This window comes from Homo sapiens, chromosome 11 (genome assembly GCF_000001405.40).
Source record: "Homo sapiens chromosome 11, GRCh38.p14 Primary Assembly".
Lineage (NCBI taxonomy): Eukaryota > Metazoa > Chordata > Mammalia > Primates > Hominidae > Homo > Homo sapiens.
Window position 1 is genome coordinate 72279569 of NC_000011.10, and position 25824 is coordinate 72305392.

Sequence of the window (25824 nt, forward strand, 5' to 3'; positions counted from 1 at the left end):
TCACTAATAATGCCCTTGCTTTCATTTCTGATCTTAGTAATTTGACTCTTCTCCCTCTTTTGCTTAGTCCCTCTAGCTAAAGGTTTGTCAATTTATTGATCTTTTTAAAGAATCGATTTCTAGTTTCATTGATTTTCTCTGTTGTTTTCCTGTTCTTATGTTATTTCTCTTCTCATCTTTATTATGTCCTTCCTTCTGTTGGCTTTGAGTTTAGTTTGTTTTTGTTTTTCTAGTTCCTTAAATTGCAGGTTGTTGTTTGAGATCTTTTTTTTTAATGTAAGCATTTATAGCTATAAATTTCCTCCTTAGCACTGCTTTCACTGCATTCCATAAGTTTTGGTGTGGTGCATAAAGTTACAGGTCATTATCATGTATCTGTAAGTATTTTCTAATGTCTCTTGTGATTTCTTCAATTCATTGTTTGATTTTCATAATTTTATGAATTTTTGCCATTTTACTACTGTTACTGATTTCTAATTTATCTTGCTCTGTCAGAGAAAATGCTTTGATATCTATGTTTTAAATTCTAGGGCTGCGTTGGCAGCAGTGTCGGCGGTGGTGATGGCGGGTGGTGGGTGGGAAATGGCGGAGTATCTGGCTTCCATCTTCGGCACTGGGAAAGACAAAGTCAGCTGTTCATTTTATTTCAGAATTGGAGCATGTTGTCATGGAGACAGGTGCTCTCGGTTGCACAATAAACGGACGTTTAGACAGACCATTGCCCTCTTGAACATTTACGGTAACCCTCAAAACTCTTCCCTGTCTGCTGATGGTTTGCGCTGTGCCATGAGCGATGTTGAGATGCAGGAACACTATGATGAATTTTTTGAGGAGTTGTTGTTGTTGTTGTTGTTGTTTGAGATGGAGTTTTGCTTTGTTGCCCAGGCTGGAGTGCAGTGGCGCTATCTCGGCTCACTGCAAGCTCCGCCTCCTGGGTTCACGCCGTTCTCCTGCCTCAGCCTCCCGAGTAGCTGGGACTACAGGCGCCCGCCACCACGCCCGGCTAATTTTTTGTATTTTTAGTAGAAACAGGGTTTCACCGTGTTAGCCAGGATGGTCTCGATCTCCTGACCTCGTGATCCGCCCGCCTCGGCCTCCCAAAGTGCTAGGATTACAGGCATGAGCCACCGTGCCAGGCCTTTTGAGAGTTTTTTACAGAAATGGAGGAGAAGTATGGGGAAGTTGAAGAGATGAACGTCTGTGACAACCAGGGAGACCACCTGGTGGGGAACGTGTAGAACGTGTACGTCCTTTCGCCGTGAGGAAGATGCGGAAAAGGCTGTGATTGACTTGTATAACCGTTGGTTTAACGGACAGCCAATCCACGCCGAGCTGTCGCCTGTGACCGACTTCAGAGAAGCCTGCTGCAGTCAGTATGAGATGGGAGAATGCACACAAGGCAGCTTCTGCAACTTCATGCATTTGAAGCTCATTTCCAGAGAGCTGAGGCGGGAGCTGTATGGGTGCCATCCGAAGAAGCATAGATCAAGATCCCAGTCCCGGGAGCGTAGTTCTCGGTCTAGAGACCATGGCGGTGGCGGTGGTGGAGGCGGCGGCAGGCGGGAGCGTGACAGGAGGTGGTTGAGGGATCATGAAAGATCAGGGCAATTCTGAGCCATGCCATTTCTACCATATGTCTGCTAGAAAGTGTTGTGGTTGATTGACCAAACCAGATCATAAGGGGAATTTTTTTTTAAAACAACAACAACAAACCACAAAGTTAATTTTTTGAATAAAATTTGTTGTGATAACAGTAATAAATAAATAGATTCTATTGAGGCATTTTGTGGCCTAACATATGGTCTATCCTGAAAAATGTCCTGTGTACACTTGAGAAGAATGTATATGCTGTTGTTGTTGAGCACAGTGTTCTGTATATGCTCATTATATCTCGTTGGTTTATTGTCGTGTTTAAATCCTTTATTTCCTTACTTCTTTCTGGTTCTTCTATCTAATACTGAGAGTAGGGTATTGAAGACTCCAACTATTATTGTAGAACTTTCTATTTCTCCCTTTAGTTCTGCCAGTTTTTGTTTCATGTATTTTGATGGTCTTTTTAGGTATATAAATTTTCATAATTGTTGTATCTTATTCCTGTATTAAACCTTGTATTTATAATATTCTTGGCTGGGCCCCATGGCTCATGCCTGTAATCCCAGCAGTGTAGGAGGCCAAGGAAAGAGGATAGCTGGAGCCCAGGAATTTGAGACCAGCCTGGGCAACATAGTGATACCTCATCTCTACAAATAATTAAAAATATTTGCTGAGCATGGTGGTACATGTTTGTGGTCCTAGCTACTTGGGAGGCTGAAGTGGGAGGATCGCTTAAGCCCAGGTGGTTGAGATGGCAGTGAGCTGTGATCATGCCACTGCACTCCAGCCTAGGCCACAGAGACCTCGTCTTAAAAAATAATAATATAATGTTCTTTTCTCTTGTAAATTTTTAAAAAATGTCTTTAAAAAATTGAAGTGTATAGTGTCTGATGTTGGTATAAGCATTCCTGCTCTCTTTTGGTTACTATTTGCGTGGAATATGTTTTTTCCATCCTTTCACTTTCAATCTATTTGTCTCTTTGGAGCTAAAGTGAGACTCTGGTAGACAGCATATTGTTGGATTATGTTATTAAAATCAATTCTGACAATCTTTGCCTTTTGATTGGAGAGTTTAACCCATTAACATTTAAAGTTGACTGCGAGTGGTGGTTCATGCCTGCAATCCCAACACTTTGGGAAGTTGAGGCAGGTGGATCACCTGAGGTCATGGGTTTGAGCCCAGCCTGGCCAACATGGTGAAACCCCATCTCTACTAAAAATACAAAAATTACTAACTCTGCATCTTCTCTAAGACATTATGATTACTTTCTAAATTTCCCAGTATATGCAATTGCTTTTGAATATCCTAGTCTTAAATGTCTGGCTACCAACAGGAAGTAAAAGAGAAAAATGAAGAGGGAGGGAAGGGTGCAAGCACATTAATCCTAGACAGCACTTCAGCCAGAGGGGCTTGCTACAATGGGAGGAGGTATAAGAATAATGGTCTCTGCCTCTTTTTATGCCTGTGATCAGAAGTAGCAATCAGAGCACAGATCCTAAGTATTTGAAAGACAGGGTCCTTTTGCCCCTCCTGGCTCCTGGAAGCTGCATTCCAGCTGTTCTAGGAACACGTGCACAGCTGCCTGCCATGGGGCTGGGAGGTGGGGGATGGGTAGTTGTTACTGTGCTAAGAGTTGAAATTGAACAAAATTAACCACAATTTATCATCTAAGCCTTCCCTGGGAAGTCGCAGAACTCCAATAGACTCCAGAGCTCCAAAATAGTTACATCAGACAAATTCTGCCACTGTAATTGTCTGGGTGGGGAGACAGATTCCTGATGCTTCCTACTCTGGCATCTTCCCAGAATCCTCTGGGTATTTACCTTTTAAAAAATTATTTTACTCTTTTTTTTTGTGTGTGTGGGGGGTGTCTAAGGTGGGGAGCATACTATATAGTGCTTAATCTGCCATACTTTTTTCTCTTTTTTCCTTCCTTTTCCTCGCTTTGCCCTAGTATTTTATGTAGATTGTGTTGGTTGACTTCTCAATTTTGCCCACAGGTTAAAATATATCTAAATAGGGTTATGATAGAACCAGAGGAAGAATGCTCATCACACAGAGATCCTTGATATGGAACAAGTTGTAGCAACTGATGAGACTTTGCTATGTTTATCTTTGTAAGAGTAAATTGCTCTGTGCAAGGGATAGGTGGCATTACGTAGCGTGAAGTTTTTTTTGAAAATACAGGTTTGGGAAGATCTATATTGTTGTTGGGTTAAGTCTGAAGATTCTGAGAATATTTGGAAGAGAGAGATTATAATGATGGGCCCTGAGATTTAAGTGGACTTGGAGAAAGAGGGATCAGATGGGCAATAAGAAGGTTGGGGTTAATGGACTAGAAGTATCAATAAGGTCACAGAATTACACACAGAATGTACTCCAGTTCATATAAGTGAACTGGAAGATGAAAGATAATTGGCTAGAGAGGGATAGGGGCTTCGGAGGAAGTTTAATTACTTGTGATGAAATTTAGACTGTGACCATAACATAGGTGATTTAGGTGGGCAGGGGCAGAAAAAAGACCACTAAATGTGAGGAGAGCAGGGCTTTAGGTCATTCATGGAAGGTTGAAGCCACCAAGAATGATGGCATGTGCTGGGGAAGAGAGAAAGTGACACAGGTACTAAAATCTTCCCTGTGACACAGTGATTGGGAGATCAGTAGGCAGGACAATTAGAGAAAGGCTGGTATAGTCGAACTGATGAATTCAAAAGAGCTGAGAGGAAGGATGAGAACTAATTGAGGAGGAGCAGTGGAGGCTCACTTCTGGGTCTAACAATGAAAGCAGCCTCTGCCTAAGAGGGCTACAGGTAAGCAGTCTTAGGGGACAGCCAGAGTAAGCTGTGTCTTTAGGGGACAGTTAAGATGAAGAAGTGAAGCAAATATTCCAAATACAAGGTGCATATAGAAAAGAATCTACCGATTTTAGAAAGGAAGTGCTGGAGGACACAGTGGAAAGGCTGGAGAGGGAAGCAGTATGTGATGATGTGGTGGTAGATGACCACTGAGGTTAGGGTCAGACTTCTTGGGATTACTATAACGAATCTGTGAGGGATGGTATTAGACTTGAAGACTCTTAAGAGGATGGTGGGCTAATGGTTTCAGGATTGTGGTTGAGGCTATATTCCTTATCTCTGCAACTGATCATGACTCTGGAGGGTCACACTGGTGACTGCCCTCCCTGACCATTCCATATTCCCCTTGTCCTGTGTCACTGCCTTAGACCACTATGGTTTGTTGTCCAGTGGATGACCCAAATCTTCCTCCTTTAAGAATATGAGTCCTTATTACTCCTAGTATCTAATATCTAAGTCAATTAGGACCACAACACTAGAAAAAATTGTAGAAATGCATAAAAGACGAAAATTAATCTGAGAAAATCACTCAGAATGAAGCCTCTTTTTCAAATATACCTACTATTTTTTCTTACTGCCCTTTCTTGCTTTATGTTTTTTAGTCTTCTCTCCATGTCTGAACATTTTAAGATTTTTTTTTTTTTTTTTGAGGCGGAGTCTCGTTCTGTCACCCAGGCTGGAGTGCAGTGGTGTGATCTCAGCTCACTGCAACCTCTGCCTCCTGGTTCAAGCAATTCTCCTGCCTCAGTCTCCCCAGTAGGTGGGATTATAGGCACATGCCACCACACCCAGCTAATTTTTGTATTTTTAGTAGAGATAAGGTTTCACCATGTTGGCCAGGCTGACTTGAACTCCTGACCTCAGGTGATCTGCCTGCCTTGGCCTCCCAAAGTGCTGGGATTACAGGCATGAGCCACTGTACATGGCTGGGATTTCCCATTCTTGGTTTCAAGTCTAGTTGTGTATTAAACTTTCTTGTCTTATTACATATATTAAATATTTCTGTTTGAGGTGGAAGAGAGTTTGCCTGAAATTACTCTCTGTTGTATATTGGTCAGAAGTCATCCCAAATCATTCTACACAATGCAAACAAAGGGTCTTTTAAAACACAAATCTGGTCATTTCATTCCCTTAGCATGGCATTCAGGGCACTTTGAAATCAGGAAACTTGCCTCTCTAGCTTCATTTTCCACCAATTTCCTCTCTTCTCCACACTCATACACAGCTACTATACTCCAGCCACAGACAGTAACCCTTCTCTTTCCTTTCTCTCATAATTGTATTTAGGGTGTGTGTTAATAATAAATTTACATTTTCCCTAATTTTTGCATACTGTCAAGATGGGATTGCAAAAGTAGTAATGACTATTTCCTGAGAGGCTAGACCCAGAAAACAGTAGCTCCATGTAGCATCGCCTCTGGACATAGTAGTGCAGTATGACCTTAACATTATTTAATTAAAAGTGCTGTCAATTAGATTTGTATTAAATTATTTATTAGGTTTACATTAAGTTATATATTAAGAAATGTATATTTTAGTATTAAATCATCCTTTCTAAAACTTGATGTTTTTTCACTTGTCAGGTCTTATTTTTATGCCCTTCAATATGGTTTTCTTGTTAAATTTATTAAGTATAATTTTGAACAGGTAATACATTAATATGGTTCAAAGCTTACTAAAAAGTATTTAAAATAACATAGCAGTGTTCCCCTTCCATTGCTGTCCCTGAATTGCCCAGTTCTGCTCCCTTCCAGAAATAGGTTATGTGTAGAAGAGCAAATATATATATACCTATTTGTTGCAATTGTAAATGGAATGTTTTTCTTTTGATACTGTTTCTAGTTGATTATTGCTAGAATACAGAAAAAACAATTGATTTTTGTACAGTTATCTTTTATTCAGACACTTATCCATGCTAATAGGCTTCTACTATAGCCTTTTTTTTTTTTTTGGAGATAGGCTGGAGTGCAGTGGCACGATCTCATCTCACAGCAACCTCCACCTCCTGAGCTCCAGTTATATTCCCACCTCAGCCTCCCAAGTAGCTGAGACCACAGGTGGATGCCACCACAACCAGCTAATTTTTTGCAGAGATGGGGTTTCACCATGTTGCTCAGGCTGGTCTTGAACTCCTGGGCTCAAGCAGTCCACCTGCCTTGACCCCTCAGTGTTCTGTTGAGATTACAGGTGTGAGATACTGCACCTGTTTTTTTTTTTTTTTTTTTTTTTAAGAGATAGGGTGTCACTCTGCCACCCAGCCTGGAGTGCAGTGGCATGATCATAGCTCACTGTAACCTCATACTCCTAGACTCAAGGAATCTTCCACCTCAGCCTCGAGTAGCTGGGTATACAGGCATGCACTACCATGCCTGGCCTGAAATAACTTTATACTTAAAAGTTGCAAAAACAATACAAAGAATTCATGTACATCATTCCCTCAGATTTCCCAAATGTTAACATCTTTTTTTTGTTTGTTTTTGAGACAGTCTCACTCTGTCATCCAGGCTGGAGTGCAGTGGTGTGATGTAGGCTCACTACAACCTCTGCCTCCAGGTTCAAGGGATTCCTGTGCCTCAGCCTCCCAAATAGCTGGAATTACCGGCATGTGCCACTATGTCCGGCTAATTTTTGTACTTTAATAAAGAGGGGTTTCACCATGTTGTCCAGGCTGGTCTCGAACTCCAGACCTAGGTGATCCACCTGCCTGGGCCTCCCAAAGTGTTGGAATTACAGGTGTGAGCCACCATGCCTTGCCAACACCTTACTTTTTGCTTTATCATTCCGTGTGTGTGTGTGTGTGTGTGTGTGTGTGTGTAGTTATCTGAAATACTGGCAAACCAAATTAGAGGTTTACCTTTAACCTCTAAATACTTACATTTTCTGAAAACAAGGACGTTCTCTTCTGTAATCATAGTATAATTATCAAAATGAGAAAATTTAACAACACTAGCACTCTCTAGACATTTAAATAACATTTAAGTTCTTGATGTAATAAATTAATAAATTTCCTGACACTGAGCCTTGCATTGCTAAAATAAACCTTATGTAATCAGAGTGTGCAATTCAACTTGATTTTATTTGGGATTTTTGCATCTATGGCCATAGGTGAGATTAGGCTATAGCATTCTTTCTGGCACTTTATCAGGTTTGAGTACAATAATAGTTAAAACTCATCTATTTTGGGGGTTGAGTGATGGCTATAGGAGTGTGTTTACTTTGTAATCATTCACTGAGCTGCATACTTGTGATTTGTACAATTTCCCATATATTTTTCAATTAAAAAGTTTAATTAAAAACAATTTTTTATTTTTGGGACATGGTCTCGCTCTGTCACCCAGGCTGGAGTGCAGCAGCACAGTCTTGGCTCACTGCAACCTCTGCCTCCTGGGCTTAAACCATCTTCCCCACCTCAGCCTCCCAAGTAGCTGTTGACTACAGGCAAGCACCATCATGCCTGGCTAATTTTGGTATTTTTAGTAGAGGTGGGGTCTTGCCATGTTGCCCAGGCTGGTCTCAGACTCCGGGGCTCAAGTGATCTGCCTGCCTTGGCCTTCCAAAGTGCTAGGATTACAGGTGTGGGCCACCACCATGCCTGGCCATCAATCTTTTACAAGGATAAAATTTTATTTATTTTTCACCATCTTATGGTGCTCAAAAAGGATAAAATTTTAACCACCTTTCCAGTTTCTTCTTGGGTAACCAACTGGCCTATTCAAACTATTTCTAGGATCAGTGTTTGCTGGGAAATTATCCATTTCCTCTGATTTCAAATTTGTTGCCATAGAGTTCTATTCTTCTTCTCAATTCCTCAATATATATGGTTATGTCTAATTTCTCATGCCTAATTTTGTTAATTTTTTTGGCTCCTTTCCCCTTTTATCAGGCTCAGGAGGTTTTATCTATTTTATTGGTGCTTTCAAAGAATTTTTTAATTTATTCTTTTTCTTTTTCCTACCTTGTTAAGTTTAGCTTTTATCTTTATTGGTCCATTTTCTATTTTTTATGGTTTAAGTGTGTTTCTTTCCTAAATTTCTTTCTTGTTTTTCTTCTTTCACTATATTGAGGAATTTCCCTAAATTTTAAAATCACTACACACCTTTGAGTTTTTCTTTTTGAACAATAAACATGTTACACTTTCATTTCCAAGTCTGGTCTCATGTATTCTAGGATCCTCAATAAGGAATTTGGGGCCGGGTACAGTCGTTGACGCTTGTAATCTCAGCACTCTGGGAGGCCAAGGTGGGTGGATCACTTGAGACCAGGAGTTTGAGACTAGCCTGGCAAACATGGTGAAACCCCGTCTTTACTAAAAATACAAAAAAAATTAGCTGGGTATGGTGGCATATGCCTGTAGTCCCAGCTACTGAGGAGGCTGAGGCATGAGACCTGCTTGAACTGGAGGTGGAGGTTGCAGTGAGCCAAGATTGCACCACCGCACTCCAGCCTGGGCGACAGAGCAAGACTCTGTCTCAAAAAACAAAACAAAACAAAAGAAATCTGGGTCTCACCTTGCTGCATTGTCTCAGAGCTCAAATCCTGGCCACAGCAACATGGGACAAATAAAAATATGCTGAGCAAACAAACAATACTTTTCTGTTCCAGAGCCCACTGAGAAGATCTGCACTTGCTGCAGGTCCCATCCACTCACCCAAGTATAATAATAAAGGAACATCTGTCATATGCCTGCACTGTGCCAGGTTCTGTGAATGGCTGAACAGCTTGGCATCTGCCCTCTTAGAACTTACATTCTAGTGATGAAGACACAGAACAAGTAGGACAAGTGAGCTGAGCCTGGGATGCTATGGAAGTAAAAGATATGGGTCCAACACCACCTAGGAGTTCTGGCAGAGAATCTCTGGAAGAAGTAATTCTTTTTTTGTTTGTTTTTGTTGGAGACGGAGGCTGGCTCTGTCACCAGGCTGGAGTGCAGTGGCACAATTTCGGCTCACTGCAACCTCCACCTCCCGGGTTCAAGCGATTCTCCTGCCTCAGCCTCCCGAGTAGCTGAGACTACAGGCGCCCGCCACCACGCCTGGCTAATTTTTGTATTTTTAGTAGAGATGGGGTTTCACCATGTTGGTCAGGATGGTCTCAATCTCTTGATCTCGTGATCTGCCCCTACATGGCCTCCAGAGTGTTGGGATTACAGGCATGAGCCACCACGCCCGGCCAGAAGTGATTCTTAATTAGGTTCCTTAGAATCTAAGGTTCTACCCCTGTCTCCTTATCCTATTCTCAGGAAGGTGGCCATTGGCTTTTCTTGTATAAAAGTTATCTGATTTTAAGTTATATGCCTAGTATTCCTGGCCACAGTTAACTGAACCAACGGACTGACAGCCGGGCATAAGACCTCTATCTAGTAGGAATACTGCACACAGGCTGGTTACTAGCTGACTTAACTAGAGCCTCTATGGGAAGTCTAAACATCAAATAGAAAGGAGCAGAAACAGAGATAGCAGGAGAAAAAGCAGAAAAAGAATAGTAAGGTTATAAAAATGGCAGTCGCAAACCCTATGGTATTGAATTAAAACCGTATCTAAACTCATGATTTTTATTTATTTTTAAAAATATGAAACGGAGTCTTGCTCTGTCACTCAGGCTGCAGTGCAGTGGTACAATCACAGTTCACTACAGCCTCAACCTTCTGAACTCAAGCGATCCTCCTGCCTCAGCCTCCTACGTAGCTAGGATTACAGGAATGCACCACCATGCCTGGCTAATTTTTTATTTTTTAAACGTTTGGAGGATGAGGTCTTGCTATGATGCGCAGGCTGGTCTTGAACTCCTGGGCTCAAGTGATCCTCCCACTTTGGCCTCCCAAAGTCCTGGGATACAGGCACGAGCCACCATACCTGGCTCACGGTTTTTAATAACATACAGATGGATAGAATAATAAATTCAGGTGCTTGTATTTGCATGTTTTAACATATATACATATATGTTTTCTAGCTCTGTCTGCTGAGCAGGCCTACAAGCAATGACACTCCGCCAATGATACTCTAGCCAGGAGTATATATTCTGTCCAGATCTTGGTTTCCAGTGGCATCAAGAAACAACTTGGTTTCTAAGTTCCTTTTTTCTGGAATAAAAGGAACTGGGAGCTTCTTAGAGAATGACTGATGCCAGGGCTGAGATAGGGAAAATGTGAGGAAGCCTGAAACATCTTGTGGTGCCAGAAAATGCTTAAAAAGTGACAGGGGCAATGTCGAAACAACACAGTGCCAACTTCAATGAGTTCTCACTGGCCAAATCTGAGCCAATTTGAGCAACCAAATAAACTGTTAGCATTAGATTGTAGCCTGTAGAATAAAACAGATATCCACTCATTCATACTGATATAAATTATCAAATAAATAAATGGGGAAAAGGGACAGCTCTTCCTTATAGTAGAATACCAATTAATAAATACAGGTAAAATAATGAAACAAAGTCACCATTAGGCAAGCATAACATTAATACCTGTTATAAGCAAGAATCATTGATGATGGAAATGAAAATCAGTAGGCAAAATTTTAAGAATAAGACATTCACATAGCTTCAAAGTGGAAGATTCTTGTTAATTTCAAAGGGAAAATTCCTAATTTTACAGTGGAGAAACCTGGCACACACCACCTTAGCCATGTGATCAAAGTTACCACCACCTAGTCTAGGTGTGGTGGCTCATGCCTGTAATCTCAGCACTTTGGGAGGCCGAGGTGGGTGGATCACCTGAGGTCAGGAGTTCAAGACCAGCCTGGCCAACATGGCGAAAACCTGTCTCTACTAAAAATACAAAAATTAGCTGGGTGTGGTGGTGGGCACCTGCAATCCCAGCTACTCAGGAGGCTGAGGCAGGAGAATCACTTTGAACCCAGGAGGCAGAGGTTGCAGTGAGCCGAGATTGCGCCACTGCACTCCATCCTGGGTGACAGAGCGGGACTCCGTCTCAAAAAAAAAAAAAAAACCAAAACAAAAAGTTACCACCACCCTCCGCTAGGAGGCACTAAGAATAGCACAGTATCACTTCTGTGGTTGTCTTGGCAAAAATGCAGATCCTCAATCATATCATGTAAAAACATTAAACAAACTAAAACTGGGGAATATTCTATAAAATAACTGGCCTGGACTCTTCCAAAGTGTCAAGGTCATGAAAGATAAAGACCAAGAAACTGTCACAGGCTGACAGAGATGAAGGAAACACCACAACAAAATGCAATATGGGACCCTGGACCAGACAAAGGACATCATCGGGAAAACTGGCAAAATTTGAATGTCCGTAGATTAGTTAGTAGTAGTTTATCAATGTTAACTTCCTGGTTTTCTTTTTTTGAGACGGAGTCTCACTCTGTCGCCCAGGCTGGAGTGCAGTGGCGTGATTTCAGCTCACTGCAACCTCCGCCTCCTGGGCTCAAGTGATTCTCCTGCCTCAGCCTCCCAAGTAGCTGGGATTACAGGTGGGCACCAGCGGGCCTGGCTAATTTTTGTATTTTTAGTACAGACAGGGTTTCACCATGTTGGCCAGGCTGGTCTCGAACTCCTGACCTCAGGTAATCTGCCTGCCTCAGCCTCCCAAAGTGCTGGAATTACAGGCATGAGCCACCACACCCGGCAATTTCCTGGTTTTGATAAACTACAGTATGGCTTTGTAGGATGTAATCATTGGGAGATGCTAGATGAAAGATACATGGGAATTTTCTACTATTTCTGCAACTTTCTCTAAGTCTAAAATTATTTCAAAACAAAAAGTAAAAAACAATGAAAAGCAGGCCGGGTCCAGTGGCTCATGCCTGTAATCCCAGCACTTTGGGAGGCCGAGGCAGGCAGATCACAAGGTCAGGAGATTGAGACCATCCTGGCTAACATGGTGAAACCCTGTCTCTACTAAAAATACAAAAAGGTAGCCGGGCGTGGTGGTGGGCACCTGTAGTCCCAGCTACTCGGGAGGCTGAGGCAGGAGAATGGCGTGAACCTGGGAGGCAGGGCTTGCAGTGAGCCGAGATCGCGCCACTGCACTCCAGCTTGGGGGACAGAGTGAGACTCTGTCTCAAAAAAAAAAAAAAAAAAAAAAAGGCAGTCAGTGAGGTAGGGAGCAGCAGCCCCTGAGGGGTAGACAGTGATCCAAGCATCTGCTGGAGCTCACACCCTGGATTCTGACTGCCTCATACCCACCATACTGTTAGGACATGCTTCCATTACCCAAGGGACTTTGATTCCTGGCCCCATTCTCTGCTTCCTGAAAGACTAGCTAACACTACGCGAGGGTTCCATGAAGGGCCTGTGGGGGAAGGTGGGTGGACTGCTTATCAGCAGTGGCTACTGTAGATGGTGCCCAAGGATGCACCAGGCCTTACTGTGCCTGGCTAAGGTGGGCTTGAAACATTGGCTGGTCTGTGAAATGCCCTTGGGGGACGGTGTCCAGACCCTCTGCTTTGTGACTAACATGCAGACTGAATAAACTGCATGTTTATTCCAGGCTCGTTTAGCTGGACGAGCAGTACAGACAGGGCTGAGGCTGACTCCATGGCCATGTGGGCAGAGGTCAAACCCATGATCTCTCTTCCTACAGCTTCCTAATGTCTGCGATGTTGGTCTTTTGAAGGAGGCCCCCACAGAGCTGAGCTTGCTTGGTTATCTGGGACTGCTGCTCAGTCTGAGTAGGGGAGGGTAATGAACCAGTCAGGCCTCCTCCTGGAGGTGCCCAACACTGGCCTAGTCCCCAAGGCTGACGAAACATGGTCTGGCCTGACCCCAGGACGTGGGGTGAGGAGGAACACTGGGCATAATATAGTAGCGGAAACAGGCAAGCCTCTATGGGTCCCTTCCCCTTAGAATTTTAGGGTAGGGAACGAGGAGGCTACAGACTAAATTGCAGAACTATCTGCACCTGGGCCTCTGAGCTCTTCCTCCACTCCCAGTGGAGCCATTCTGGGGACTGAGTTGCATGAGGACTAGCAGAGGGTGGCAGTTCAGTCTGGTCCCTGTCTTCTTCCAGCCAGCTGTGTTCTTAGCTGCCATACTTCTGAGCTTCCTGGGAACATGAGAAAGTCTGGCGACTATGGGGGATGGGGATCATTCTGAAGGAAATAAGGGACCTCCATCCCTCCTTGCCTTGAAGGGGGTGGAAAGGCAGCTCCTCTCCTGAAGGCTTGTTAGCAGGTTATGGGCCCACAACAAAGGGGCCAGAGTAGGGCGAAATTCCTCCTTCAGGTTTTGGGGCTGAGAAGGGGTCTTCATGGGCTGTGAGGAGGTAAGCAGGCCTGAGACTGGGTAGAGATGGGAGCGGCATGAGGGGAAGGTAAGTCAGTTGCCATGCCACAGCCAAGGGGCCTTTATTGGATGGTGAGGGCACATAGGAGCAGGCAGGTGGCTGCTAGATGGTGTTGCACACCTTCTCAGGGTGCAGTGGTGCCCGGATGTCCAGTCTGCGAGTCTTGCTGTCCTTGTCGATGATCTCCAGACGCAGCTTGGGGAGGCGCTTCTCAGCCTGGGGTGAGGGCAGTTCTGGGCTTTTGAGTAGCTGCTTGTCTGAGTCCTCCACCGTGATGCGCAAAGTACAGCCCCCTGGCAGCAGGTCCTGCTCATAGGCTGCTGCCAGCTGGTTCACCACACGGCGTTCTACCTGTCGGTGGGGAGGTGAAGTGGTCACTCCCTCGGCCTGGACCCAGCTTGGAGGTCGGCCTCCATCACTTACTGCTAGGGCAACTCAGAGACCTCCTTTGAGCCTGAGCCTCAGCTTTCTCATTTGCCAATTGGGGCTAATAACAGCTAGCTCGCAGGACTGCGCTCAAGTTTCTGAGGCTCCCAGCCCAGTTCCCTGGTCCTAGTGGGGTTCATACTGGGCTACCCTCCAGCAGGGGTTTTACTTGGTGATCATGTGTTTATGGTTCTGAATGGGCATCCACTCTGGGTGTGAATATCCAGCAACCAAGCTATAGGGAGGCAGGCTGAGAGCTCAGGGACTGGGTCTGGGGGGCCCTGGGGAGGGAGGTGTGGAGGCGCCTCATTTCTCAGGCTCCTGTGCTCACCTCATGTTTGATGGAGCGGGCGCCATAGTGCACATTGTAGCCGTCGACCAGCACATCTGCCACCTCGCGGTCCCAGAGCAGCGTGATGTTGTGCCTTTGCTTGGCCTGAGATGGGTCAGATAGAAGCATGCCTGCATGTGGCCCACTGCTTTCCATCTCTTGCCACTCTGGCCTGAGGCCAGGGCCACTGGCCCCACACCACTGTGCTCCACCTTTTATGTGTGTGGGGGTGCCCCCAGTCCAGTGTTCCAGATTTCCAGTGGCTGGCTATCCCGCCCCCACCCATGGGCAGTTCCCTCTTACTCTCTTGGCCCAGAAGTTTAGTTCCTTGTTGACGAGTTGGATGAGCTCCGAGTGGCAGAAGGGGAGGAAGTAGACGATCTCATTGATCCGTCCCAGAAACTCATCCCTCCGGAAGTGAGCCTGAAGGGCCAGGTTAGGGGTGGGATGAGCTCAGTGACCCAGAGCGGGTTAGGGAAATTACCAGACACCAGGGGAAGACTGGGGAAATTATGGGGCTTCCAGATCTTTAGGATGGCTAAGATCACCCTCCCCCAACCTTAGGCTCCAGCAGGAAGTGCCAAGAAAGACCTCTTACTTTCAGGATAGGGCGAATCACATTCTCCTTGAAGTTCTTTGAGATGGTGATCTTGTCACTTATCTGGACATCCCCTGTGGAGAAGAATCATAAACTGCTTATTCCCCACATTCAGGGAACTTTGGGGGCTGTGCCTGCCCCTTGGCCTGCCCATGGAAAGAGCCCTGGTCCTGTCCATCTGTGTGGTCCTGGTCAAGGTCTAAGGCTCTCTGGGCTTCAGCCTGGTCTCCTCCTCTGACCAGGCACTTTCGGAGGCCTTTCCAGCTCTCAAGTGTATGAAGTCTGCGATTCCTCAGGGTGGGAGTTGTGTGAGGGAGGGAGAGGAGAGGAAACGTCAGGATTAAGACTTGAGTCCTGACTTGGAGGAAGGGGGCTGCAGGGCTCGATCTTGAATGGAAAAGGTGACAGACACAGCTTCCTGCCGGATGTGCTCCTTTTTTTCAGCACTCTCCATGGCCCACCTACGCAGGAAGCTGCCCTGGGTGAACAAGGCTGTGTCCACTGCCATAGAGTTTTCGATCTGCTGTCCCCTTCTTGCACCAAAGCATCTGTGTCTCTTGCATGTGCATCTCCTCAGTCCCCTAAGACACTGAGCAGCTTCTGGCCCCCCACCCTGGTGTAGCTCTGTCCATTCCTGCCTGGAGCCCTCTTATCACCCAACAGACTTGAGGCTTTCTTGAAGTGGGGTCTCTGTCTCTTTTGTCTCAACCCCCACTACTTGGTATGGTGTCTGATATCTGCTCAGTGTCAGCTAGGGACAGAGCTGCCCACTAGAACCTTCACCTGGGCCCAGGGCCCCAATCCCATCCTTCCCCAGGAGATAGGCTGGTGGCTTGGTCACTGGACCAGACTGCTCAGGTCAGCCGCCATACCCAGGTTTTCGGCAATACGGTTACGGCTCATCTCCAAAGCTTCCTGCCTCAGCTGCAGCGCGTGCTGTGCGATCTCGTCGCTGGCCACATTGGAGGTCATGATGAAGATGGCGTCCTTGCAATCAATGGTCTTCCCTTTTCCATCTGTCAGCCGGCCCTGGGAAGGGAAGGAAGGGAGTGTACAGTCAGGGAGCTATGTGCCTGGGCAGGCCTTAGCACTCTCAGTTCTCACCTCCTTCAGGAGGCCTCCCCAGAGCCCTGTGTCTCCCTCCAGCCCCAGCAGCCAGCTGCTTCCTCCTCTGGGTTCTCCGAGCACTAGACTTGCACCTTGGCTGCTGTGCTCACCGCCCTGCGCTGCAACTGCTCTCCCTACTGAGTGCCTCCAGGTGAGGCTGCAGTTGCTCTCTGGCATCTCTTGGGGCACCCAACTATCCCTGGCATGCAGAAGTCAGTCACAGTTAGCCATTCATTTGTGCAACCAACACATTTTTTGGAGGCCCGCTGTGGGCCAGGATCTGTGGTGGGGTACTGGGGTCCCACTGAGCCTACAACATGCTCCCAGTATAGAGAAGCAGTGAGATACAGGAAACAAGCACTGACCATCCAATATGTTACGTATGATAATAAAGGGAAGCCCAGCATGCTGCAGGAATTCAGAGGAGGGTACTTTACATGGCTACTGTCAGGACTAGATGTGGTTATCTGGTGAAAATTCTTAGTAAACCATGCTGTTCAAATGTTCAGAGCTATTATTACTGTAGTAGGTGATATATAATGAAACAGGACAACCTCTTTTATCTTTGGAGCTGCCGCCTGGCCTAACAGGGATAAAAAATGAGATTGCTTCTTTAACCACCTTGGGAAGTTTCCTTGGAATCTTCAGCTCTTTCTAGAAGGGACAAAGGAGGCATCTATACTGGAGAAAGATGCACCAAAGAAGGAGAAAAGGAGCAAACAGTATAGGGCAGAGACAGAAGAATGATAAAAGTACAGTGTTCTGGGACCAATCAGTTGAAGGGTACAGAGCCCCGCTCACTCAGCGAACCTCAAGGGCATGACCGTACAACAGCACTTTATGTCATTTATAACAAAAGCAATGATCAGGGACTCCTTGAGAGCAAGCAATAGAGTGACAATGCCGAACACGGACAGGGACTTCTACTTTCATCACAGATGCTCTGCTTAGTGCTTTTTGTGTACAACCCCACTCCTTCTACTAGGAAAGTGGCTCCTTGACAACAGAGGCTGGGTCTTGTTCATCACTGTGTCCCAGAACAGCGTCCGGTACAGAGTAGGTGTTTGACACCTGCTTGCTGGAGGCTGGAATCTTCACATCCACCCTTGGAGGTAGGTGCAGTTAGGACCCCTACAAAGAAACTGAGGCTCAGAGAGGATCATAACTTGTTCGAGGTTTCACAGCTAGGATACAGTAGAGGCGAGACTTGAACTATCTGACCTCAGAGCCCATGCCCTTCCTCTGCACCAGGCTACAGAGGTCAGACCAATGGTGCTGGATGAATGAGGCCTCGTGCTATTTTCTTTCCTTCGACAGAATTTTCTCAGAATTCTGCCAAATTCAGTTTGATCCTCACTGGAGAGATGCAACTGGGACAGGTGCTAGGGAGGAGATCTACCTGAGATTTCTTTTGGGAAGCAGAGAAAGCACAGCTCCCGCCAAGCCAGAAACCGTGGCTCTGGGGATATACATCACTGACCTCAGCCTGTTGGCTCCTGCCTGAGCCAGGGATGCTGGGCCCTGCCCGAGCTTCAGGGTTAGCCCTTGCTTCTAAAGCCAGTGTAATGGTAAACCCAGTCCTACTCCTTAGGAGCAAAGGAGAAAGGACTGTGCATCAACCGAGCTAGCTTACTGCATGCTGGGTGTAGTTTCCAGCCTTGCTTTCCACTGGACCTTGGCAGAGGCCTTTGAGAAACTGTTAATTCCCAAAGGGTCTATACACAAGGGGCCTGGTAATCCACATCCTGGAGCTGGTCACTCTGCTGTCCCTGCCTTGGGGCAGGAAAAGGGAAGCAAGGGTGCAAGCAGATGTCCTTGAGCTTTTACCAGCAGCTTTTCACTCTTACCCCACTGCTTATGGGTTCTAATCTAACAGATCCACTGAGGGCAGTTCTAGTTTTGGGGACCAGGTGTGTGTGTGTGTGTGTGTGTGTGTGTGTGTGTGTGTGTGTGTGTGTGTGTGTGTGTGTGTGTGTGACATGTCCAAGCATGTGCATATGACTGTGTGTGTGTTCCATACTCACTTTGCAGAGCTCATCCCTAAGGACTGGGTTCACACACTGCTATACTGGCCAGAGCAATAACCTAGCAGCAATTTCATTCTCAGAGATCAAAGCTCTGCTCATAACTGGGCCTGAGGATGGGTCCCAGGTGGGTGAGGGGAGCAGGTGCAGTGCATGACTGACCCAAAGGGTGACTTTCAGTGCTCATGTCTCCTCCTCAGTTTCCTTAGCAATAAAGATGTGTCTCAAACAGGAAGCTGTCCGTGCCTCACCTCCCTCTAACAACCAGAGCGTGCACATCTTGGGTGGGGCTTGAATGCTCACCCCAGGGTTATGGGGCTGCTTTCCCACTGTCTCACGTATGACTCCTTGGTGGGAGGAGTGGGGGCTGGGCTCTCTGGGGACTAGTCTCTTTCTGGGACTTCTGCCCTGGGGTCACCTGTGAGTGGCCAGCAGTAGACCTGCTTGGTGCTTTGATGAGAGCAATAGGGTTCTTACTTTTCTGGGCCCAGGCTTGGGAGAACTAGACTGGGTAGGGGTGAGGCTGCTTCCCTCACACCTCCAGCCTGGATTAGGTGCCCCTACAACTCCTGGCACTTGCTGCTTGTCCCTAGCGCAGCACCGACCACAGTGGACTGAACTACTTTTTAGCTGCCTGTCTCCGCACTCATTGGTCACGCCAAGGCCAGGGCTGCATCTGTTTTGTCAGTGTCCCCTCTACCCCACACAGCGCCTCATGAATAAATGAATGAGCCACATTCTTTTGGTTGGCTCTTTTTTGTTTTTGAGACAGGGTCTGGCTCTGTTGCCCAGGTTGGAGCGCAGTGGTGCAATCTCTGCTCACTGCAACCTCAGCCTCTGAGGCTCAAGCCATCCTCCCACCTCAGCCTCCTGAGTAGTGAGGACTACAGGCACATGTCACTATGCCCAGCTGATTTTTGTATTTTTTGTAGAGACAAGGTTTTGCCATGTTGCCCAAGCTGGTCTCGAACCCCTGAATTCAAGTGATCTGCCCACCTCGGCCTTCCAAAGTGCTGGGATTACAGGTGTGACCCATCATGCCTGGCCTGGTTTTGCCTCCTACTTCTCTGGCGAGTCTGTCTTGACTTCCCTGATAGGTCCCAAGGCTCTGTGTATAGCCCTCTTTTCTCTGCACATTATACACTCCCTGGGTTACAGACCTCATCCATTCCTGTGGCTTCCGTTAACCTCTCTGGGCTGAAGGATTCCTGAACTGCTATTTTCAGTCAGACCTTTCCTAAACTCCTGACCCATAAAACTGATGAACGGCCCCTTGGCCATCTCCATCTGGATGTCCCTCAGGTATCTCACCTTCAACATTTCCACACCTCAGTGCCTCACCTTCCTCTTCAATCTGCGGCTTCCCACTGTGTTCGCCGCCTTAGCTGATGGCCAACTGGCAGCAGCCAACTGGCCACCCTTGGCTCCTCCTCCTCTCCTCAGTCAACCTTCTAGTAGTTTCTCCAGCCCATGGCCTCCCCAGCTGTAGCTTGGGCTCCCCAGCAGTCTCCTTGTTAATGACCCTCTCCCTTCTCATCCATTCTTTACACAGCTGCCCACGGCATCTTTGTAAAGTGAAAATTTGACTGTTTCTTTCTTGCTTAAAGTCTTTAAAAGGCTCCTTACTCTCTACCAGAGAAATGCAAACTTCTGTGCCTGGCATTTTAACTGGGCCCTGTTTACCTTACCTACCTTGTCTCTAGCACTCTGTCCTTGTTTTCCCTCTGCAATCGAGCAGTACTGACCAGCTGCAGTTCCCTGAGCATGCCAGCCTGTTTCATGCCCTGTACTTTTATACATTAGGTTTCTACTGCCAGCCCCGCCACTCTGTTCACCTAGCACTTACTAACCCTTTGAAGGTTTGCTAACTACTGTTGAATTAAAACTACTGTTGAATTAAATTAGTCAATACAACATTTCCCCTGACTTTGTGGGCTCTGGGAATGGTTCAAGTGAACATGACAAGGGCCCATCCTCAAAGAGCCTAAATCGAGTAAACCTGGATGGCAGCTTTGGTCAATGGAACCAAGAGCATCAGAAACTATAGTAGGCTGGGGCTGGGGGAAGGGGCGACAACAGCTGCAGGAAGGAATTCCTATCAACCCCTAAAAGGCAGTCAGTGGAGTGAAGTGACGGAGGAGGGGGAGACAGGGCTTCCATGTATGGCTGATTGTACTTCAGTCAGCAGTTGCCTTCTGTTTTTTGGGCCAAGAATGCCATCAGAGGTGCCTCTCCAGGGAGACCAGAGATCAAACAGGCCGCGATGCTCACCCTCCCTCAGCGGCATGGTCCCGTCCCTTGCGTGCTTCACTGAGACGGACCTCGCTCTTTTGGCCCTAGCTGCGTGGCAGTCATTCAAGCTGCAGGATCTAGAACTGGGCTGCCTGGGTTTGAATCCTTGATTCTCTCTCCCCAGCTGCATGACCACAGGTAAATGACTTAATCTTACTTTGCTTCAGTTTCCACATCTGTTCAATGGAGGCCGTAATAATAGCTAGCTTTGGAGGGTTGTTGAAAGGGTTAAATTGATACACATAAGCCTCTGAAGACAGCGAATGGCACACAAAATGCAAAATGCCAGCTACTACCATGTCTCCTTTCCACCTGTCTACCAGGCAGAGAGCTCCAAGAGGGCACATTCGGGTCTGGTCATAGCTGTGCACTTGAATCCCATCAAGAGGCTGGAATGGAGTAGAGGCCTCAGTGTACACGTGAGTAACTGAGTATGTGACCTCTGAAGGACTGGTCTCTTCTTCCTCAGCAGAGGTTCAGGGGCAGGGAGCAGCTGAAGGGCTAGGAAGATACAACGGAACGGGCAGGGGCAAGGAGGCTGGGCCAGGTGGGGAAGGCAGTGAGCAGCTGGTAGGAGATCTGGATCTGGATCTTCCTGGCTTGGTACCTGATGTGCTGTTCGGTCTGGAGGAGTCCCCTCCCTGTGGCCTCCTATGACATGGGAAGCAAACCACCTTTTTGTTTTCCTAGGGCTGCAGGAGACTAGGTAGAAAGGTGAGCTGGACTCATGGCCAGGTGCTAGCTAATATAGCCCCTGCATGAGAGAAGAGAGGCCTCATCCCCGGTTCAGTCCTTGGCTCCTCACGCTCTCTTGATGGAGCAGGGCCCCTGAAAAGGTGGAAGTCATCTTCTTCCGTGATCGTAAGCAATCCCTCGCCTGGTTCAAGGTAAACAGTGGTATGGGGGGAGAATTGGGGCTCTGGGATCAGACATATCTGCAGCCCAATCTTGGCTCTTTACACAGCAGCTGTGGCCTTAGGCATGTCTTTTATAACCTCTCTGAACCTCAGTTTCTTCATCTGTAAAAAATGAGCTAATTTCTCCCTTGCCTGTTAGGAATTTTTCTACCTACCTTGTGAGGATTAGTGATAATGGCTGTAACGTCTTTAGTACAGGTCTAGTACACAGAAGGTACTGGATAGAAGTAAGCTCTTCTCTCCATTTAGAACTTACCCCTACGAGCAGGGGAACTGGACAGTCTGTGAGAACCCTCAGATTCTCAGAAGAGAAAGGCTCCATGAATCAGAGTATCAGCATCTCACCATTAGCAGCAACAATATTAGCATTTTAAAGAACTGCAGGAGACAATGTTTGGCACACAGGGAGGAACAAGAGCTGTCTGAGGCAGAAGGATTTTTGGGGCTTCTCTGATTCAGCCTCCTCGTTTGTCACATGAGATCTCTGATGCCTAGAGATGGGCAGTGACTTGCCAAGGCCACAAAGCCAGTCAGGAGCAGAGCTGGAACTAAAAATTCATGTCTCGCTCTCATGGCACCTCTGCCATACCATGTCTCTCTAGAAGGTGGGCTGAGCAGCCACACAATTTCAACTCTTAGGCAGGGCTGGTCTTCGCTTGAGTGCCCCACCCAGGCCCTAGTGCAGAGGGGCTAAGTTGCACCTACTGGATGAATGAATGTACACATGCGGGAGCAGGAAGCCGAGGAATGACCAGCTAGCCTCTGGGCCCTTGCTTTCTGCTGTTCACAGTCCCCCTTATCTCCAGGTGTCCCCCCGCTCCATCCTGGCCCAAGGTGACTCACCTCATCAAACAGCTGCAGCATGATGGTGAGCACATCTGGATGGGCCTTGTCTACTTCATCAAAGAGCACCACAGCATTGGGGCACTGCTTCAACTTCTTGGTCAGCTGGCCACCCTCCTCATGGCCAACGTAGCCTGGTGGAGACCCAATAAACTTGGCCACCTGGTAGAAGGAAGGAAACATGCTAGGAAGGCCTTTCTGTGCTTTTAGTTTCCAACATGGGGCATGCATGGGAAGATGACTTTATACGCTATTAAGGTTGCCTCTCTCAACAGAGATGATTGGCTGTCCATCTCCTGGTGTGGCAGATAGATCTTCTCTATGTTTATTCTTCAGAGCAAATCCTATGTGAAACAAATCAGTGACCCTGCTGCACACCTGTGCTCCCAACGACAAATCCCAAGGCTGCTGGAATTATCTGAGGCCCAAATGACAAGACCCCGGCAGTCATGCTGACAAGCCCTCCAAACCATGCTTCAATCAAGGACTGTCATCACTCACCTCGTGTCGCTCCTGGAACTCGGACATGTCCAGCCTGATGAAGCCCTGTGTGGAAACAAGCAAGTACCAACTCCGTTTGGAGGCAGGAAAGTGAAGAGAAGGGTTAGGGAGGAGAGCACCTCAACTATCCCCAAGGCTTTCACACCACACCAACATAAGATCTTCTATCTCACGCTCAAGATGTTTTTTTCTGACTTCCTGTCTCCTTTTCTGTGCACTCATTTCCTACGAGTCCCTCATTCTCTTCCTTAAAAGACCCAAATCATGTACCTGACCTTCTAAATCTGACTTGGGGTGTCTTCTTTCAGGGAGGCCTCTCCTGTTCTGATCACCACATCATCCACCCACCCATCCATCCATTCCACGTTTCCTGAGGGCATCCTGTGTGTGCTGGACACCGGAGTTACAACAGGGAACAAGTCTTGGTCTCTGTCCTTAAGAAGCACCCCATCGAATGGTGCAGACATGGACAAAGTCAGTCACGATCAGTGTGGACTGTGGTGCGAGGGAGGAGAGAAACACTCAGATGGCTCCAGAATGCCTCTCAACTCTGCAAGTCTGTGTGATGCCCGTGTCCCTTTGATTTACTTTTCTTCAAAATGAATATATTTTAAAATGTATTTACATTTCTTCATTTCATTAAAAAAGATATCCATAACATAGCTTTACAGCCCTTTTCTCTCCACCACAGGGTGTAGGGGTGATTTCCGAGGAAGTGGCCCCATGGGTGAGGGCCATGGTTAGCCCTTGGGGAAGAGAACAGCTTGCATTATGTGATCTGAAGAGTTAACACAGGCAGAGTGCCCACTGGTTTTCAAGAAGCATTACCTGATTAGGGAGCTGTAAAGGCATCCACAGGTGCCCTGTCTAGCCACAGCCAGGACCACAGTTCCCCACAGTCCCCCGGGCTCCTCTCCTACTGGCACATGCCTCCATCTAAGAGACAGCATTCACTGAATCCTGCTTCTCCTGAGAGCCGGTGATGATGGGGGTGCCAAGATTCTCAGCGGGAGGTAGCTATGTCTGAAATCCAGGGCTATATTCTAGCTTGGCCACTGGTCAGAAATTCACGCCATGATGTACTTTTAGTTCTTTCTCTGTCCTGTCATTCTACAGCTGAGACACAGGGTGGCAAGAAGAACCCTGGGCTGGGAGCCAGGGGGCTCGGGTTCCAGTCCTAGTTCTGCCTGCCTGTGGAGCCTTGGACATGCTGCCTCCCCTTTTTGAGCTGCAGTTTTGTCCTGTGTTACAGAAGGCTCTTGGCTCCTCTCCCTGCCTCACCAGGGGTCTGAGGATCTAATCCAAGAGGTGGGACAGGGCTTAGAGAAGTTATTAAGGCCACATGGGGGAAAGCACTGCTATCAGCACATGGGGCATAAGCCAGAAAGCATTTCCAGAGGGTCCCTAGGCTGCTCAGTCAAGAGATCTGCAGGTTTCAGGATTTACTGGGTATTTACTATGTGCCTGGCAATGTTTTAGGCAAGCTATAAAGGGCTTAGAACATGTACAAGTCTCTGAGGTAAGCACTACTATCATCTCCACTTTACAGATGAGAAAACTAAGTCACAGATTAAAGTAACTTGCTCAAGGTCACCTGCGCTTGGCAATTCAGCTCCAAGTCTGTGCTCTTAGCCATCATGCTACACTGCCTCATAGCTTCCTCTCTGCCAATCAGCTGGGCTCTTGACAGTCTTCACCTTGAAGGGTGCTGAGCTTTGTGTCCAGATGCCAATGAATGTCGGACGACAGATGGACTATAGACTCTCGTGCTTACTTATGTCAAGTGACCTGGGTTCTCACCCTAGTTCTTCTAATGATTTGCTATGTAATTTTGAACAAGTTTTTGGGCTTGACTTTCTTGGCCGGAATCATCATTTTGATTTCACATGATCTTAGTGAGGCAAGAACAATAAGAGTAACATCCAACATGTACTGATTGCTTACCACATGCCAAGAACGGCGTTTAACATTTTACATCACTATCTCATTTAACCTTCCGAACAATCCAGTGAGACTGGCACCATTATGGAGCCTACTTTACAGATGAGAAAGCTGATGTAAACAGAGGTCCTGGCCAACTCCACCTAGTAGAGTACAGTTGGGATTTGAACCCAAGCAGCTGGACTCAGATAGTTGTTCTTTATCCCTTATCATATTGCTACTATAACTAAGTCTTTTGGGCTCCACCACCCTACCTTATGATGATATCACAGAACACCATTAAGGTTCCTTCCCAAGGCTTATTAGCTCTAGTAAGGAAAGTTAACAGAGCCACTCAATTTGGAAGAAATAGTATACAGGCTAATGAGAGAAAAAAATAAGTTCACAGATCTGATAAAGAAATCATATAAATGTACAAAGAATGCTTCTGAAGCAGCAAGATCTGGAGGTGTCAGTGTCTCTTTACAAATGAAGAAACTAGGGATCAGAGAGCCAGAACTAGAATTCACATCATCAGACTCCAGGCCAGTGCTCATTTCATTTCGTCAGCTGTCTTGGGAGGCAAATTAAAGGGAGCTTCTGTTTGGTAAAAGTCTATTTTACACTGGGCTCTGAGAATGACACTTTCCATACATCACTCTTTGGGTCCCAGGTACACTGGCTACGTAGCTTAAAGTCCAGGGCTCTCTTGGATTTTGAAGGCAGGTCTCAAACATGCCTGTCATGTGGCTATAAAGTGTCTACGCAAAACACAGATTCTATAATGAGTTGACCCACAGGGCTAGCACAGGCAGGAGTTTCATAGAAGCACCACCTATGATTTAAAAATAAAATACATGGTTGTTTTTATGGAGCTTCTCATGCCTCTCATCTCCCAATGTGAAATGGGGACACACTGGCAAGTTTCCAATCCAGCTTCCTAGAGCAGCTGAGAACAACGGTATCACAGTGAGGAGTTGAGAGACTGGATTGATTCTGGTTTTATTTCTTCCCCTAATAGGTGACCTTAGATAAGCCTAAGAATGCTGTAGGGCCTCAGTTTTCTCATCTGAAAAGTGGGTCTAATTTAGCATCCATGCTATCTTCCCCATAGGATCAAATGGGAGAGTAGATGGGGCACTGCTATGGTAAGTAGGAAGTGACGAATA

The 25824-nt window shown here is 46.6% G+C and overlaps 1 protein-coding gene, 1 long non-coding RNA gene and 1 pseudogene across 9 annotated transcripts in view, besides 1 other annotated feature; 2 read left to right on the forward strand and 1 right to left on the reverse strand.

Moving 5' to 3' along the window:
- On the forward strand, nucleotides 583-1539 carry LOC401703 (U2 small nuclear RNA auxiliary factor 1 like 4 pseudogene; annotated as a pseudogene).
- Nucleotides 5927-25824, reverse strand: part of CLPB (ClpB family mitochondrial disaggregase) — a 149037-nt gene continuing 129139 nt past the window's right edge. For all 7 annotated transcript variants that reach the window (NM_001258393.3, XM_005274320.2, NM_001258392.3 and 4 more), the window contains 7 exons: nucleotides 22736-22780; nucleotides 22235-22396; nucleotides 15924-16080; nucleotides 15052-15125; nucleotides 14757-14876; nucleotides 14454-14558; nucleotides 5927-14047 (listed from right to left, as the gene is read on the reverse strand). In NM_001258393.3, the coding sequence (NP_001245322.1) occupies nucleotides 13799-14047; nucleotides 14454-14558; nucleotides 14757-14876; nucleotides 15052-15125; nucleotides 15924-16080; nucleotides 22235-22396; nucleotides 22736-22780 (912 nt within the window). In that variant the 3' untranslated portion in view covers nucleotides 5927-13798. The remainder of the gene's footprint in view (nucleotides 14048-14453; nucleotides 14559-14756; nucleotides 14877-15051; nucleotides 15126-15923; nucleotides 16081-22234; nucleotides 22397-22735; nucleotides 22781-25824) is intronic.
- LOC124902708 (uncharacterized) lies at nucleotides 20395-23393 on the forward strand. 2 transcript variants are annotated; one of them, XR_007062767.1, is made up of 4 exons: nucleotides 20523-20612; nucleotides 20798-20893; nucleotides 21165-21361; nucleotides 22571-22861. It is a non-coding gene; the product is annotated as an uncharacterized LOC124902708 (long non-coding RNA). The 2 variants fall into 2 exon arrangements; XR_007062766.1 differs by having other exon boundaries at nucleotides 20395-20612; nucleotides 21165-23393.
- Nucleotides 21630-22829: an enhancer, noted in NCBI's record as "MED14-independent group 3 enhancer chr11:72012242-72013441 (GRCh37/hg19 assembly coordinates)". NCBI's record gives its function as "activates an origin of replication core promoter dependent on BRD2, BRD4, P300/CBP and CDK7 cofactors, and independent of MED14, by STARR-seq in HCT116 cells {active_cell/tissue: HCT116}" and the evidence as "EXISTENCE:reporter gene assay evidence [ECO:0000049][PMID:35650434]".